At 43.8% G+C, this 15200-nt stretch overlaps 1 protein-coding gene across 1 annotated transcript; it reads left to right on the top strand.

The window, feature by feature from the left end:
- The first annotated feature begins 5919 nt into the window (after nucleotides 1-5919).
- Nucleotides 5920-7729, top strand: IQCF2 (IQ motif containing F2). Its single transcript, NM_203424.2, has 3 exons — nucleotides 5920-5989; nucleotides 6163-6255; nucleotides 7292-7729. Exons 1-3 carry the CDS (start codon nucleotides 5972-5974, stop codon nucleotides 7673-7675), a joined length of 495 nt encoding a protein of 164 aa, NP_982248.1. The 5' UTR covers nucleotides 5920-5971; the 3' UTR covers nucleotides 7676-7729.
- Nucleotides 7730-15200: the final 7471 nt, after the last annotated feature.

Raw genomic sequence — 15200 nt, forward strand, 5'->3', positions numbered from 1 at the left:
TTTGGCAGCAGTGACTCTCCAAACTGCCAAGGCCTAGACCTCCTCACTGCTGAGAAAGAAGGACTCTGCACCTTCTTAGGAGAAGAGTGTTGTTTTTACACTAACCAGTCAGGGAGAGTACAAGATGCCACCCGGCATTTACAGGAAAAGGCTTCTGAAATCAGACAATGCCTTTCAAACTCTTATACCAACCTCTAGAGTTGGGCAACATGACCTCTTCCCTTTCTAGGTCCCATGGCAGCCATCTTGCTATTACTCGCCTTTGGGCCCTGTATTTTTAACCTCTTTGTCAAATTTGTTTCCTCTAGGATCGAGGCCATTGAGCTACAGATGGTCTTACAAATGGAACCCCAAATGAGCTCAACTAACAACTTCTACCAAGGACCCCTGGACCAACCTGCTGGCCCTTTCACTGGCCTAAAGTGTTCCCCTCTGGAGGACATTAAAACTGCAGGGCCCCTTCTTCACCCCTGTCCAGCAGGAAGCTGCTAGAATGGTCATTGCCCAATTCCCAACAGCAGTTGGGTTGTCCTGTTTAGAGGGGGGATTGAGAAGTGAAGCCAGCTGGGCTTCTGGGTCAGGCGGGGACTCAGAGAACTTTTCTGTCTAGCTAAAGGATTGAAAACACACCAATCAGCACTCTGTGTCTAGCTAAAGGTTTGTAAACGCACCAATCAGCACTCTGTAAAAACGCACCAATCAGCACTCTGTGTCTACCTAAAGGTTTGTAAATGCACCAATCAGTACTCTGTAAAAACGCACCAATCAGTGCTCTGTGTCTAGCTAAAGTTTGTAAACACATCAATCAGCACTCTGTAAAAAGGGACCAATCAGCACTCTGAAAAATGGACCAATCAGTGCTCTGTAAAAGGGACTAATCAGCAAGACATGGGCGGGGCCAAATAAGGGAATAAAAGCTGGCCACCCAAGCCAGCAGCGGCAACCTGCTCGGGTCCCCTTCCATGCTGTGGAAGCTTTGTTCTTTCGCTCTTTACAATAAATCTTGCTGCTGCTCACTCTTTGGGTCCACGCTACCTTTATGAGCTGTAACACTCACTGCAAAGGTCTGCAGCTTCACTCCTGAAGTCAGCAAGACCACAAACCCACCGGAAGGAACAAACAACTCTGGACACACCACCTTTAAGAGCTGCAACACTCACTGCGAAGGTCTGTGGCTTCACTCCTGAAGTCAAGTGAGACCACGAACCCACTGGAAGGAAGAAACTCTGGACACATCTGAACATCTGAAGGAACAAACTCCAGACACACCATCTTTAGGAACTGTAACACTCGCTGCGAGGGTCTGCAGCTTCATTCTTGAAGTGAGTGAGACCAAGAACCGACCAGAAGGAACCAATTCTGGACACAACATCATACTTACTGGTGAAGTACTGAAAGCTTCCTCCCTAAGAACAGGAGCAAGACAAAAATGTCTACTCACCACTTGTATTCAACATTGTACTGGAGATTCCAGCCAGAACACTTAATCGAGAAAATTAATAAAGACATACAGATTAGGAGAGAAGAAGTAAAACTCACTATTTGCAGATTACATGATTCAAGGTTGCAGGATATAAGATCAATAACAAATAATGGTTGTATTTGTATATCAGCAATGAAAAAGCCAAAAATGAAATTAAGAAAACAATATCATTTACAACAGCATCAAAAAAGTACAATACTTAGGAATAAATTTTACACAAAAAGAGCAAGATCTGTACACTGAAAACTCCAAAACATTGTTGAAAGAAGTTTAAGAAGACCTAGACAGCGGAGGCCTAGGTGGCAGACAGGGGGCCCGGGCCGCTGCGTGTTGTCCACCCAAGATGGAGTTCCTCCTGGGGAACCCGTTCAGCACACCAGTGGGGCAGTGCTTCGAAAATGCCACACAAACACAACCATGGGTATTTAGCTCTACTGAAACAGATGAGGGAAGTAAGGCTGACAGAGGAGCTCAAATCAGTTCTGATTTTTCTCTTCATAAAAGAATTTCCATTCTGCAGCATTCATTCAGGAAGCACTCATGAAGAGCCTACCAGGTGCCGGCCCTGGCCTGGGGCTGGGCTTAGAGCCGGGGCAGGATGGCCCAGCATCTGCTCCATGGAGCTCACAGCCCAGCCTAGGCTGGCAACTCCAGTCTGCCCCAGTTTCCAGTTCTGTCCATTCCCCTTGCAGCTCAGCATGGATGAAGCTTTGAAATCCAGCTCTCCCTCTCCCTCTCCCTCTCCCTCTCCCTCTCCCATCTCCCCACGGTCTCCCCCGTCTCCCCACGGTCTCCCTCTCCCTCTCCCGTCTCCCCACGGTCTCCCTCTCCCTCTGTTTCCACGGTCTCCCTCTCATGCCGAGCCGAAGCTGGACTGTACTGCTGCCATCTCGGCTCACTGCAACCTCCCTGCCTGATTCTCCTGCCTCAGCCTGCCGAGTGCCTGCGATTGTAGGCACGCGCTGCCACGCCTGACTGGTTTTCGTATTTTTTTTGGTGGAGACGGGGTTTCGCTGTGTTGGCCTGGCCGGTCTCCAGCTCCTAACCGTGAGTGATCCGCCAGCCTCGGCCTCCCGAGGTGCCGGGATTGCAGACGGAGTCTCGTTCACTCAGTGCTCAATGGTGCCCCGGCTGGAGTGCAGTGGCATGATCTCGGCTCGCTACAACCTCCACCTCCCAGCCGCCTGCCTTGGCCTCCCAAAGTGCCGAGATTGCATCCTCTGCCCGGCCGCCACCCCGTCTGGGAAGTGAGGAGCGTCTCTGCCTGGCCGCCCATCGTCTGGGATGTGAGGAGCCCCTCTGCCTGGCTGCCCAGTCTGGGAAGTGAGGAGCGTCTCCGTCCGGCCGCCATCCCATCTAGGAAGTGAGGAGTGCCTCTTCCCGGCCGCCATCCCATCTAGGAAGTGAAGAGCGTCTCTGCCCGGCCGCCCATCGTCTGAGATGTGGGGAGCGCCTCTGCCCCGCCGCCCCGTCTGGGATGTGAGGAGCGCCTCTGCCCGGCCGTGACCCCATCTGGGAGGTGAGGAGCGTCTCTGCCCAGCCACCCCTTCTGAGAAGTGAGGAGACCCTCTGCCTGGCAACCGCCCCGTCTGAGAAGAGAGGAGCCCCTCTGCCCAGCAGCCACCCCGTCTGAGAAGTGAGGAGCCTCTCCGCCCGGCAGCCACCCCATCTGGGAAGTGAGGAGCGTCTCCGCCCGGCAGCCACCCCGTCCGGGAGGGAGGTGTGGGGGTCTCCCCCCCGCCCGGCCAGCCGCCCCGTCCGGGAGGTGAGGGGCGCCTCTGCCCGGCCGCCCCTACTGGGAAGTGAGGAGCCCCTCTGCCCGGCCAGCTGCCCCATCCGGGAGGGAGGTGGGGGGGTCAGCCCCCCGCCTGGCCAGCCGCCCCGTCCGGGAGGTGAGGGGCGCCTCTGCCCGGCCGCCCCTACTGGGAAGTGAGGAGCCCCTCTGCCTGGCCACCACCCCGTCTGGGAGGTGTGCCCAACAGCTCATTGAGAATGGGCCATGATGACAATGGCGGTTTTGTGGAATAGAAAAGGGGGAAAGGTGGGGAAAAGATTGAGAAATCGGATGGTTGCCATGTCTGTGTAGAAAGAGGTAGACATGGGAGACTTTTCATTTTGTTCTATACTAAGAAAAATTCTTCTGCCTTGGGATCCTGTTGATCTGTGACCTTACCCCCAACCCTGTGCTCTCTGAAACATGTGCTGTGTCCACTCAGGGTTAAATGGATTAAGGGCGGTGCAAGATGTGCTTTGTTAAACAGATGCTTGAAGGCAGCATGCTCGTTAAGAGTCGTCACCACTCCCTAATCTCAAGTACCCAGGGACACAAACACTGCGGAAGGCCGCAGGGTCCTCTGCCTAGGAAAACCAGAGACCTTTGTTCACTTGTTTATCTGCTGACCTTCCCTCCACTATTGTCCTATGACCCTGCCAAATTCCCCTCTCCAAGAAACACCCAAGAATGATCAATAAAAAATAAATTAAAAAAAAAAAAAAAGAAGTTTAAGAAGACCTAAATAAAGACATCTGTGTCTGTAGGTTAGAAGACTTAATATTGCTAAAATGACAATATTCCCCAAATTGATCTACAGATTTAGCATAATCCCTATCAGAATTCAGCTGACTTCTTTTGCAGAAATTGACAAGCTGGTTCTAAAATTCATATGGAAAGTCAAGGGATTCAGAATAGCCAAAGCAATCTTGAAAAAGAAAAACAAAGTGGGAGGGCTCACACTTCCTGATTTCAAAACTTACTACGAAGCTACAGTAATCAAACTGGTTTGGTACAGGCACAAACACAGACATATAGGTCAGTGAAATAGAATAGAGAGTCTGAAAGAAACCCATATATCTATGGTCAATTTAGTTTTGACAAGGGTGCCAAGTCCATTCAATGGGAAAACAATTGTCTTTTTGACAAATTATGCCAGAACAACTCGACATCCACATGTAAAAGAATGAATTTGAACCTAGCCTCACTCCATACACAAAACTTAAAATGGATCAAAGATCTAAATGTAAGAGCTAAAGCTATAAAACTCTTAGAATTTTAAATCGGCCAGGTATGGTGGTTCACACCTGTAATCCCAGCACTTTGGGAAGCTGAGGTGGGAGAATCACTTGAGCCCAGGAGTTTGAGACCAGCCCAATCAACATAGTGAGACCCCATATCTTAATAAATACATACTTTAAAAAATAAAAGAACAAAAAAATGAAAAAAATAAATAGCCAGGCATGGTGGTGTGTGCCTGTAGTCCCAGCTACTCAGGAGGCTGAGGTGGGAGGATCACCTGAGTCCAGGAAGGTCAAGCCTGCAGTGAGCCAAAGTTGCACCACTGCACTCCAGCCTGGACAACAGAGTGACACCCTATCTCCAAAAAAGAAAAAGAGAGAAAGAAAATCATTTTCTCTTAGTGTTCAAATTTGTCACCATCAATATTTCCTTGTATTTATTTAAATTTCCCTGTGGCTATTTCACCTTTTTCATTCCACTTCATTCTCTTGATTACCCAGGTTGGTAAACTGTGTATCTTTAAAACTGGTCTTGTCAGAATACTGCCTTTTAAATTTATTTTCCACTACCCATCTTTGTTTTCTATGCATTAATTTAAGTTTTGATCTTTATTTGACTGCTTTCCAGATTCATCTGGTGTATCTTTTTCTAGTTTCCTAAGGCTTTGTGAGGCACCGAGTCAAGGGAAGAGAGGAAGTGCTAAATCTCACCAGACGCTAGAGAGTGATATGGGGATGCACCGTCATGGTCCTCCCTGCTTTGCCATGCTGATGATAATGAGAAGGGACTGTGGATGGACTTCACATGAGGAGAGCCCTGCTATGGAATGGCACTCAAGTGCTCTATTTTTCCACCCTCAGCTCTGACACATCTCTGACAGGAGGCAAGCAGACACATGGTACTGAGGAGAGAGGCCATTTCTCTTACTGTCTCCTGTCTCTGAAGAGAATGAGGAAGTAAAAGCTGAAGAACAACAGGAATGAAGTCAGTGGCAAGACCAACTGGTGCCACTGACCAGACCTGAGATTGAAAGATTAACCCTCCCCACCCCCAACTCTAACCACATGTGCTCTCAATCTATCACAACACTTTCACATGGACCCCTTAGAGTTGAAAGCCCTAAAAAGGGCCAGGTTTCACATGGACCCCTTAGAGTTGAAAGCCCTTTAAAGGGCCAGGAACTCTTTCTTTAGGGAGCTCGGTTCTTGAGATGCAAGTCGGCCAATGCTCCCGGGGGAATAAAGCCTCTTCCTTCTTTAACCCAGTGTCTGAGGGGTTTTGTCTGCAGCTCATCCTGCTACAGTACAAGTTCCCCTGGAGTTTGTTTCTGACAGAGACACATCTCTGTGGCAGATGTCCCAATCCCTATGTCATAATGCAATTGTGAATTCAGAGCTCTCTCCTCACTCACGTTACTCATGCCAGACCTTGGGAAGCAGAGAAATCAGGGCTAATGAACCATCTAAGGACAGGCCATGAGGGTTCGATTTTGTGTAAGAGACATGGCCAGATCTATTAGGTGGACCAGGAATGGGTGGGTATCTCCCTGGGCTTTACAGGACTTGAGAAAAGAGAGGATGTTAAAGTAGTAATTGTCTTTGTATAGAGCCATAGAGAGAAACAGTCTTAACTCATTTATGTACTTCCCATTTAATTCTGATGACAGACCAAAGGCAATTTAATTTTGGTTATAATTGAGGATGTTGAAGAAAGCATTGAATGGAAGACATTGCAGAAGAAGAAACAGCAGAAAATCAAGGTGAGAAGAATTCCATGTACTTAAGAGAAATCCAGAACATTTATAACTACATCATAAGGTGTAGGACTTTGCCTCTTATCAATCCAGGGTCTAATTAGGAGTCAACTCAATGTTGGCTCATTTTTCCTCCATTCTCTTCTCAGTCTGGGCTGTCTGGATCTGGGCCTGACTGAGATATTGAGAGTGATTGGAAAGAATGAAAGCCTTGGGAGGCCGAGACAGGCAGATCATGAGGTCAGGAGATTGAGACCATCCTGGCTAACACGGTGAAACCCCATCTCTACTAAAAATACAAAAAATTAGCCGGGTGTGGTGGTGAGTGCCTGTAGTCCCAGCTATGCTACTCAGGAGGCTGAGGCAGGAGAATGGGTGAACCCGAGAAGCGGAGCTTGCAGTGAGCCAAGATCACGCCACTGCACTCCAGCCTGGGCAACAGAGCGAGACTCCTTCTCAAAAAAAAAAAAAAAAAAAAGAATGAAAGCCATCAAGAAATGCATAAGGCTGAGAGGTGAGAATGTGAGAACTTGGAATTAGAGAGTAGACTGTTCAAAATATGGAAAGACTTGGAGTAGAATATGTGGTCAGGGTATTGAAAACCTACCATAGTATCAAAATATGGTCATAGCAGACAGAAATCAGCCAGTGGTGGTTTGGGGCTGGAATTAGCAGATAATTACCAGGCAGAAGGTTATGAGGCCTTTCCAAACCCAGTGAGCACCAAAGAGGTGAGTGTGACTAACAAGGTCCCACACATCCCTATTGCACCCTTCTAGTTACTAATGGTTTTTCCCTTGATCCATGCACTGCAGAAATAGTCTGCAGAAGAACTCTGTGACTCTAAGATTGAAGTGATGTGCCCACAGTGGCAGAGGAAGGTCACCACCAGGTCTGATGGCTCCTAGTCAGTGTCCTGCTAACTTCCCTGAATTCTGAGGAAGGGCTGTGTTTTGAGAGAGAAAATCCAGGCTCCTTCCAGGAAGATCCTAGAAGTTGGTGGCAGGAAGTTTTCTGACTGATCGCTCTTGTCTCTGCCTAGGAAAAACTTAGAATAAGAACAAAAGCAGCTGTAAAGATCCAGGCCTGGTGGCGGGGCACCCTGGTGCGCAGGACACTGCTGCATGCAGCCCTCAGGGCCTGGATAATTCAGTGCTGGTGGCGGATGACGCTGTCGAGGGTGCTGGAGAAGAAACGGCAGGCAGCTCTGATCGCCTACGCAACCAGAGAGAGGGCAGTGATCAAGCTCCAGTCTTTGGTCCGTATGTGGCGTGTCCGCTGGCGATACTGCCAGGTGCTCAATGCCATCTACATCATCCAGGGCCACTGGCAATGCCACAACTGCCAGACCTGCGCTCTCCTCCAGGGCCACTGTGTGGTCACAGCCACTCACCTGCAGTTCCACATTGAGATCATCAACTCCTAAGGGCTGGCAAGAAGGGCACTGTGTCTACTGTCCCTATTAAAGGTCTAACCTGGTCTGGTGTGTCTCATGGGCTCCCCCAGCTAATGGGATTCTTGAGACTTGGACCTTGCTGCCTCCTCTTCTCCCTGAGAAAGAATTTCAGTGAGGTTTGCCCCCTGTGTCCAAGGACCCTGTTTTGGACTGACAATGGCCATAGGAAGCCCCAGTCTGCTCTGATATATGACAGAGCCAGAAATCCCAGTTCCCATCCCCAGCCTTATTTTCTTCTCACCGGGGGATCTGGGAGGCAGTTGGGCTCCATCTTCCTGAAGATTCTGGGCACCTCTGCACATATGGATGGACTATTGGGCCCTGCTCTGTCAACCTAGAATCAAGGTCGGCTGGGGTTTGGGATGCCTCAGTTTCCTCTTTGGCAAGCACCTAGATGGAAAGGCAATATTTGGCTGATTCTCCTGGGAGCAATGTAGTGCAGCCCCAGGTGAAGGATAAGAGGCTGGCCTTACTGGTAGGTGGGGCTGGGGCTAGGCATGCTAATGATTAGGTGGTGACCCTAAGGACTAGTGGAAAACAGAAGTTTACAGAAGTTCATCTTTTCTCTACAATTTCCTCACTAGAACTCGTCTCCCCAAGGGCCAGGTGACAAACAGGGCTCCCTCTGATATTACCCCCACCCCTACTCTTATCTCAATTATTGGTGATTTTATCATTGGTCAAGATGACCCTACAATCTCCTCCATTCTAACCTCAAACCTTTTCTGCTCTTCTCCTCAGCTATTCACTCCCACAGTCATACCAAAACAATGCTATTCTATGGAACTTCTGTGATGATGGAAATCTCTCTCTATGCTGTCCAACATAGTAGCCACTAGCCACATATAGTTGTGGTGCACCTGAAATGTGCCTAGTGCAACTGAGGAGTTGAATTTTTTATTTTATTTAAATTTAAATAATCATTGGACAATGATGCTCTAGACCTCATCATCACCAATAATTGTACTATTGCTCAAATTGCTTTTTCTAATTTTCCATTCTTTGATTACTTTCTTCTTTCAGTTCACCTTTTCAATAACCCCAATATTTCTTCAGATATGATAAGGTCTTCCAGTTTATTGATGCTATCATTTTTTTACAGCCACCACCCCTGACATGCTCTTGCATGTTTCTTTACCTAGTGCAGATTCCATGGTTAATTATCATCTCTCCCCTGCACTACCTCACTTCCTTGGCCCACTTTCTTTCTGCAAACATGTATGAGATGAAGGCAACCGTCTCCCTGTTCCATGCCTACAGAATAAGGGAACATGGCTGGGACAAAACCAACAACCATGAGGCATGGTCTTCATTTATATTCATGACCACATATATCAACTGGACTAATTTCCCAATGAATTTATTTAGTATGTTTGCATTTATATTTTCCGAGTTGAATAATTTACACCACCTCCTCTCCAAATGTTTGTTATTTCGGTTGGAATAAATGGTGTCAGAAATGAAACCTGAAAAAGAACACTATTGGAAGGGATTGGCAATTCTTGGAACTGGTGTGCAGGACCCACTAGAGCCCTTTGAGCTCTCTGCTTCCAAGGCTTGCCTGTTCTTCCCTGGTGAGTCTTCTCTCAGGCTGAGCCTCTCTCTTTTTGGTATTATTTGATATTATTTGGGATCTGGTTTGGATCACGCAACCTTAATAAAGACCATACATCTCTCCTTGAATGATAAAAAGACTTTTTGCCTTTTCTGGTAAGTTCTTTCTTGTATAAAGATGTGTGTCTTTCTGAATTGAGTACTCTTAGTTTCTACAGAATTTACAGTCAGCCTGTGAGGCATGTCTTTTCTGGTTTGTGGAACTCATTTAATATTTTGATCAGGATGCATAGGTTACAATTTTTGCAAACACTCTTATACTGGTTTCTTTTGATTTGGCTTAACTCTTTAGTTTCTGAAAATCTTCTGAAAGCAAAAACAAACATTCTGGATGGTGGGTGCAGGATGGCTAATTAAAAGCCACTAGGGCAGTCCCCACCATCTAAAGCACCAGCCTAAACTCCTGAAGTTCCCTAACAGGATTTATAGAATTTTCTTTGCTCTTGAGAGATTAATAAGAAACAGAGTGGAATTCTCAAACATTAAGGCATACCAGGTTTTCTGGGACTCCAGCTGGCCGCATATTACAGCCCACTCTTGTGAACATTTTAAAATTGATGAGCAAAATTATTTATTTTTATTTTTACTTTTTATTTTTGAGACAGTTTTGCTCTGTCACCCAGGCTGGAGTGCTGCGGCACCATCTCAGCTGACTGCAACCTCCACCTCTTGGGCTCAAGTGATCCTCCCCCCTCAGCCTCCCAAGTAGCTGGGACTACAGGCATGTGCCACTGCACCTGACTAATTTTTGTATTTTTGTAGAAATGGGGTTTCACCATGTTGGCCAGGCTGCTCTCGAACTCCTGGCCTCAAGTGATCCTCCTGCCACAGCCTCCCAAAGTGCTAGAATTACAGGCAGGAGCCACCACACCTGGCATCTGATGAGCAAAATTAAATCAGCAAAAATTCAGAACTGAAATGATAAATATTCTAAAAGCCTGCAATTGTAAAGTTAACATGTAGAGTCTTCTAAGTTCTCTGTGCATTTTTTTCTGCCTACTTTGAACCTGCTGACTTTTCTACTAGTGTTGAGATAAAACCTACTCCTTATGGCATTCTGGCCAAGTTTTTTTAAGCGTTAAAAGGCTTTCAAATTAATGACTTTACAAATTATAACAGTTTCATAGTAACCAAAACTTAGACACCTTGTAGAACTATAAATTTAGGGCCGGGCATGGTGGCTCATGCCTGTAATCCCCACACTTTGAGAGGCCAAGGTGGGCAGATCACCTGAGGTCAGGAGTTTGTGACCAGCCTGGCCAACATGGCGAAACCCTGTCTCTACTAAAAATACAAAAATTAGCTGGGAGTGGTAGCAGGCACCTGTAATCCCAGCTACTCGAGAGGCTAAAACAGGAGAATCACTTGAACCCAGGAGGTGGAGGTTGCAGTGAGCCAAGATCACACTACTGCACTCCAGCCTGGGCAACAGAGTAAGACTCCATCTTTAAAACAAAACAAAACAAAAAAAACTATAAATTTAGGTTTGCCTGACTAATAATTGCATATGGTAATGGAATGCTTAATTGAAAATTTAGTAATCTCAAGGAAAATATACTAGATAAATGTTTATAAAAGTTAGGCTCTCACATCAAACAGGTCAAAATCTTGAGTTCACAGCCATGCTATAAGGCATCTCTGTCCAGCATAAAAATTTTACTTTTTCGGCCACACAGAGGCCAAAGAGAAAAAGCTGGAAAAAAATTGCTAAAATCTTTCCCCTCCTGCATATGCTAATCAGGAAACCAGACCAGCAAACAAAAGATAGATTTGTTACTAGTTTAAGACTACTTGGAGATTTTGTTTTCCTTATACAATTCAGCCAGTCTTAGCTAAAATGTAAACCTGGAAAATTTAACCCTAAACTTTGAAATTTAAAAAGGACAAAAAGAAGGTAGGGGTGAAAGAAGCTTTTAAAAATCAATCTGCTATGGAAACTGCTTTCCCCAAAATTTTAGTTCACAGGCTTCATTAGAATACCTATAGGAAAAACAAAGTTAAGCCATATGAGTAGGTTCCTATTTTCTCCAAAATGTAATTTAGATCCAACTGTCTTTCATAAACCAGTGAGCTTGTGTTATTGTCTCATGAAAAAAATTCTAAAATGAAAGCTGTAGATCTCTCTCTCTCTGTCTCCTTCTCTCTCTCTCTCTCTGTCTCTGTGTGTGTGTGTGTGTGTGTGTGTGTGTGTGTGTGTGTGTGTTTGGATGTGTTTATGTAAGTATATATGTATTATATGTTTTGTCAACATGGTAAAATCTGACATAGTCATTCAGAAATCCCTTAAATTTGTTTTATTTAGATTGAATTAGGCAAACGGGACTGTATATAAAATATATAGGAATTAACCCACATGATTTTTAGTTCCTGTGACTTAAGTAAATATTTAATAAATAAGCTAATTTTAAAATTGTTTGTAAAATTGTAAAATGTGTTCAAAATTGTCAGTATACATTTTTGCCTGGATTTACTGGTCAGTTTTATATTTGTCTCTAAAAGATGTTTAAGGTGTCAGAGTTTGACACAATAGTTACAGAACCATAAACCCAGCCTAAAACAGAATTTTCTTTGTTTGTGTAATTTTTTATAAATAAAACCAATTTAATATTGTTGGTTTAGTGAAAATAGCTGTATCTTCTGAATTACCAGCAAAATAGCCATATATTTAACTTTAAGGTTCCTACTTAGGTGAACACTTGATATTCACAGGCTATAAAAATGGTTAACAAGAAAATAATGTGAAATAATGACTAGTTTGTCTAATATTCCATTTCTTGTAAGTAATACAGGTAAGCACTAAAAATAAATAAGTAATGCAAATATAAGCTAGATAAATGCATATAAATGAACTTTTAATGTAATTTGATGTCTTAAAGTTATGTTAAATTAAATAATAGATACCCACTAAACATTTGGGTTATTTCCACATAAGACTAAAAAATACTAAAACAAATTGCTGAACATAAATATGAGTTTGTTCTTGGCTTCTTAAATTCTATAGAAAGCCTAAATATATTTTAGACTCAATATACATTTTTAAACTATGGGGAAACATGTTTCTAAAAATTATAAAATGGTTCTCATTTATAAAATACTGATATGTGACAGACAATTCAAGGTTTCTTATTTCCAAGGTTTTTCACTACAATTTAAGTTTACTAAGAGTTAAAAATTCTAATTGATATATAATTGGCATGTAAAATGTGCCAAAAAAGTAAGATGTGCTTCATGTACCCTAAAACTTAAAGTATAATAAAAAAAGAAATAAATAAATAAAAAACCATTGACTTTTTAAAAATGGGAAAAAAAGTAAGATGTGCTTTTGATCAGAAAAAATATATAAGAAAAACATTAAAATATGTTCTTTATTTTAAACTAAATCACCTAATTTTGAAGCTATTTAAAGATTATTTGAAAATATGAAACAAGATAGGAAGCAGTAAAGAAAGTTATGGATATGAAGATGTATTTTTGGTAATGAAGGTTAAAAAGAAAAGATAATATTTTTGTATAAAAATCTTATGTGGCCTGGTGCGGTGGCTCATGCCTGTAATCCCAGCACTTTGGGAGACTGAGGTGGGTGGATCACGAGGTCAGGAGATTGAAACCATCTTGACTAACACAGTGAAACCCCATCTCTACTAAAAATACAAAAAATTAGCCGGGCACAGTGGCGGGCGCCTGTAGTCCCAGCTCCTTGGGAGGCTAAGGCAGGAGAATGGTGTGAACCCGGGAGGTGGAGCTTGCAGTGAGCCGAGATAGCGCCACTGCAGTCTGGCCTGGGTGAAAGAGCGAGACTTCATCTCAAAGAAAAAAACAAAACAAAACGACAACAACAACACAACATGAATAGAAGGAAATTACCTCAACATAATAAGGAGTATATGGGAAAAGCCCACAGCTAATAGTTGGTGGCAGCCAAAGCAACTTTATCTTGGATATTAATTCACCATGTTCACTTCCAATTAACCCCTGGTTCCAGGAATGCTTCTGATATGATTTGGCTCTGTGTCCGCACACAAATCTCACCTTGAATTGTAAAAATCCCCATGTGTCAAGGGTGGGACCAAGTGTAGGTAATTGTATCATGGGGCAGTTTCCCCCATGCTGTTCTTGTGATAGTGAGTCTCACAAGATCCAACAGTTTTATAAGCATCTGGCATTTCCCCTGCTTGCACTCACTCTGTCCTGCCACCCTGTGAAGAAGGTGCCTGCTTCTCCTTTGCCTTCTACCATGATTGTAAGTTTCCTGATGCCTCCCCAGCAATGCAGAACTGTGAGTCAATTAAACTTCTTTCTTTTATAAATTACCCAGTCTCAGGTATTTCTTCACAGCAGCATAAGAACAGACTAATACAGTTTCTAAGATTTCTACTTTATCTACTTTTACTGTAAATCCTTCCCTAAGGCAGATTCACATAGCATTCTCACCTTTTCCTGAGGGGTTGGTTTCAATCATCCTACACATTCCTTCCCTGTGATAGATAAGCCCTGGGTCTGGAGGGTGATGGTGCAGGGATCCACCATCTTATCTTGCTGCTACCGGAGACACAGACACGGCTTCTGTTTGTAAGGCCATATTAAATGTTTCTTTCTAAGAAACTGGATTTGTCATCCTCTTTCTTCAACCTCTCAGTTTCCTCAGACTTTGGGGACAGGTTTGCATAGATCTGCTCACCACAGAACATATCCTCAATGGTGGAAGACCGAAAGCTTTTCCTCTAAGATCAGGAACAAAGCAAAATGACTGCTTTCACCACTTCTATTCAGCATAGTATTGGAAGTTCTAGCCAGGACAACTAGGCAATAAAAAGAAATAAAAGGCATCCAGATTGGAAAGGAAGGTGTAAAATTATCTCTGTTTACACACAATATGATTTTATATGTAAACCCTGCAGATTACACACACACAAAAAAAACTTAGAATAAATGAATTCAGCAAAGTAGTAGGATACAAAATCAACACACACAAAAAATCAGCTGCATTTAAGGAATAAAAGACTAGAGAAATTAATAAATAAAATTTTTTAAATTAAAAAAAATTTAAATCAGTTGCACTTCTGTACACTAACAATAAACAATCCAAAAGGGAAAGTAAGAAAACAATTTCGGCCAGGCCTGGTGGCTCATGCCTGTAATCCCAGCACTTTGGGAGGCCGAGGCAGGCAGATCACGAGGTCAGGAGATCAAGACCATCCTGGCTAACACAGTGAAACCCTGTCTCTACTAAAAATACAAAAAATTAGCCGGGCATGGTGGCGGGTGCCTGTAGTCCCAGCTACTCAGGAGGCTGAAGCAGGAGAATGGCGTGAACCTGGGAGGCGGAGCTTGCAGTGAGCCAAGATCATGCCACTGCACTCCAGCCTGGGCAACAGAGCGAGACTCCGTCTCAAAAAAAAAAAAAAAGAAAAGAATTTCATTTACAATATCATCAAAAAGAATAAAATACTTAGGAATACTCTTACCCAAGGAAGTGAAAGACTTGTACTTTGAAAACTACAAAATGTTGCTGAAAGAAACAAAAGAAGGCACAAACAAATGTAAGGACATCCTGTGTGCTAGACTACAAGACTTTATGTTGTTAAAAATCCAGTACTACCCAAAGGAATCTACAGATTCATTGCCATCCCTATCAAAATCCCAATGACATTTTTTGCAGAAATAGAGAAATTATCCAAAACTGGAGAGAGGTATGAAAAAAAGAAAAAAAATGTATTCTAAAGTTTATTAATTTTTTTTTTTTTGAGACAGAGTCTTACTCTGTCACCCAGACTGGAGTGCAGTGGTGTGATCTGGGCTCACTGCAAACTTCACCTCCTGGGTTCAAGTGATTCTCCTGCCTCAGCCTCCTGAGTAGATGGGATTACAGGTGTGCCATACC

Source organism: Homo sapiens, chromosome 3, assembly GCF_000001405.40.
Source record: "Homo sapiens chromosome 3, GRCh38.p14 Primary Assembly".
NCBI lineage: Eukaryota > Metazoa > Chordata > Mammalia > Primates > Hominidae > Homo > Homo sapiens.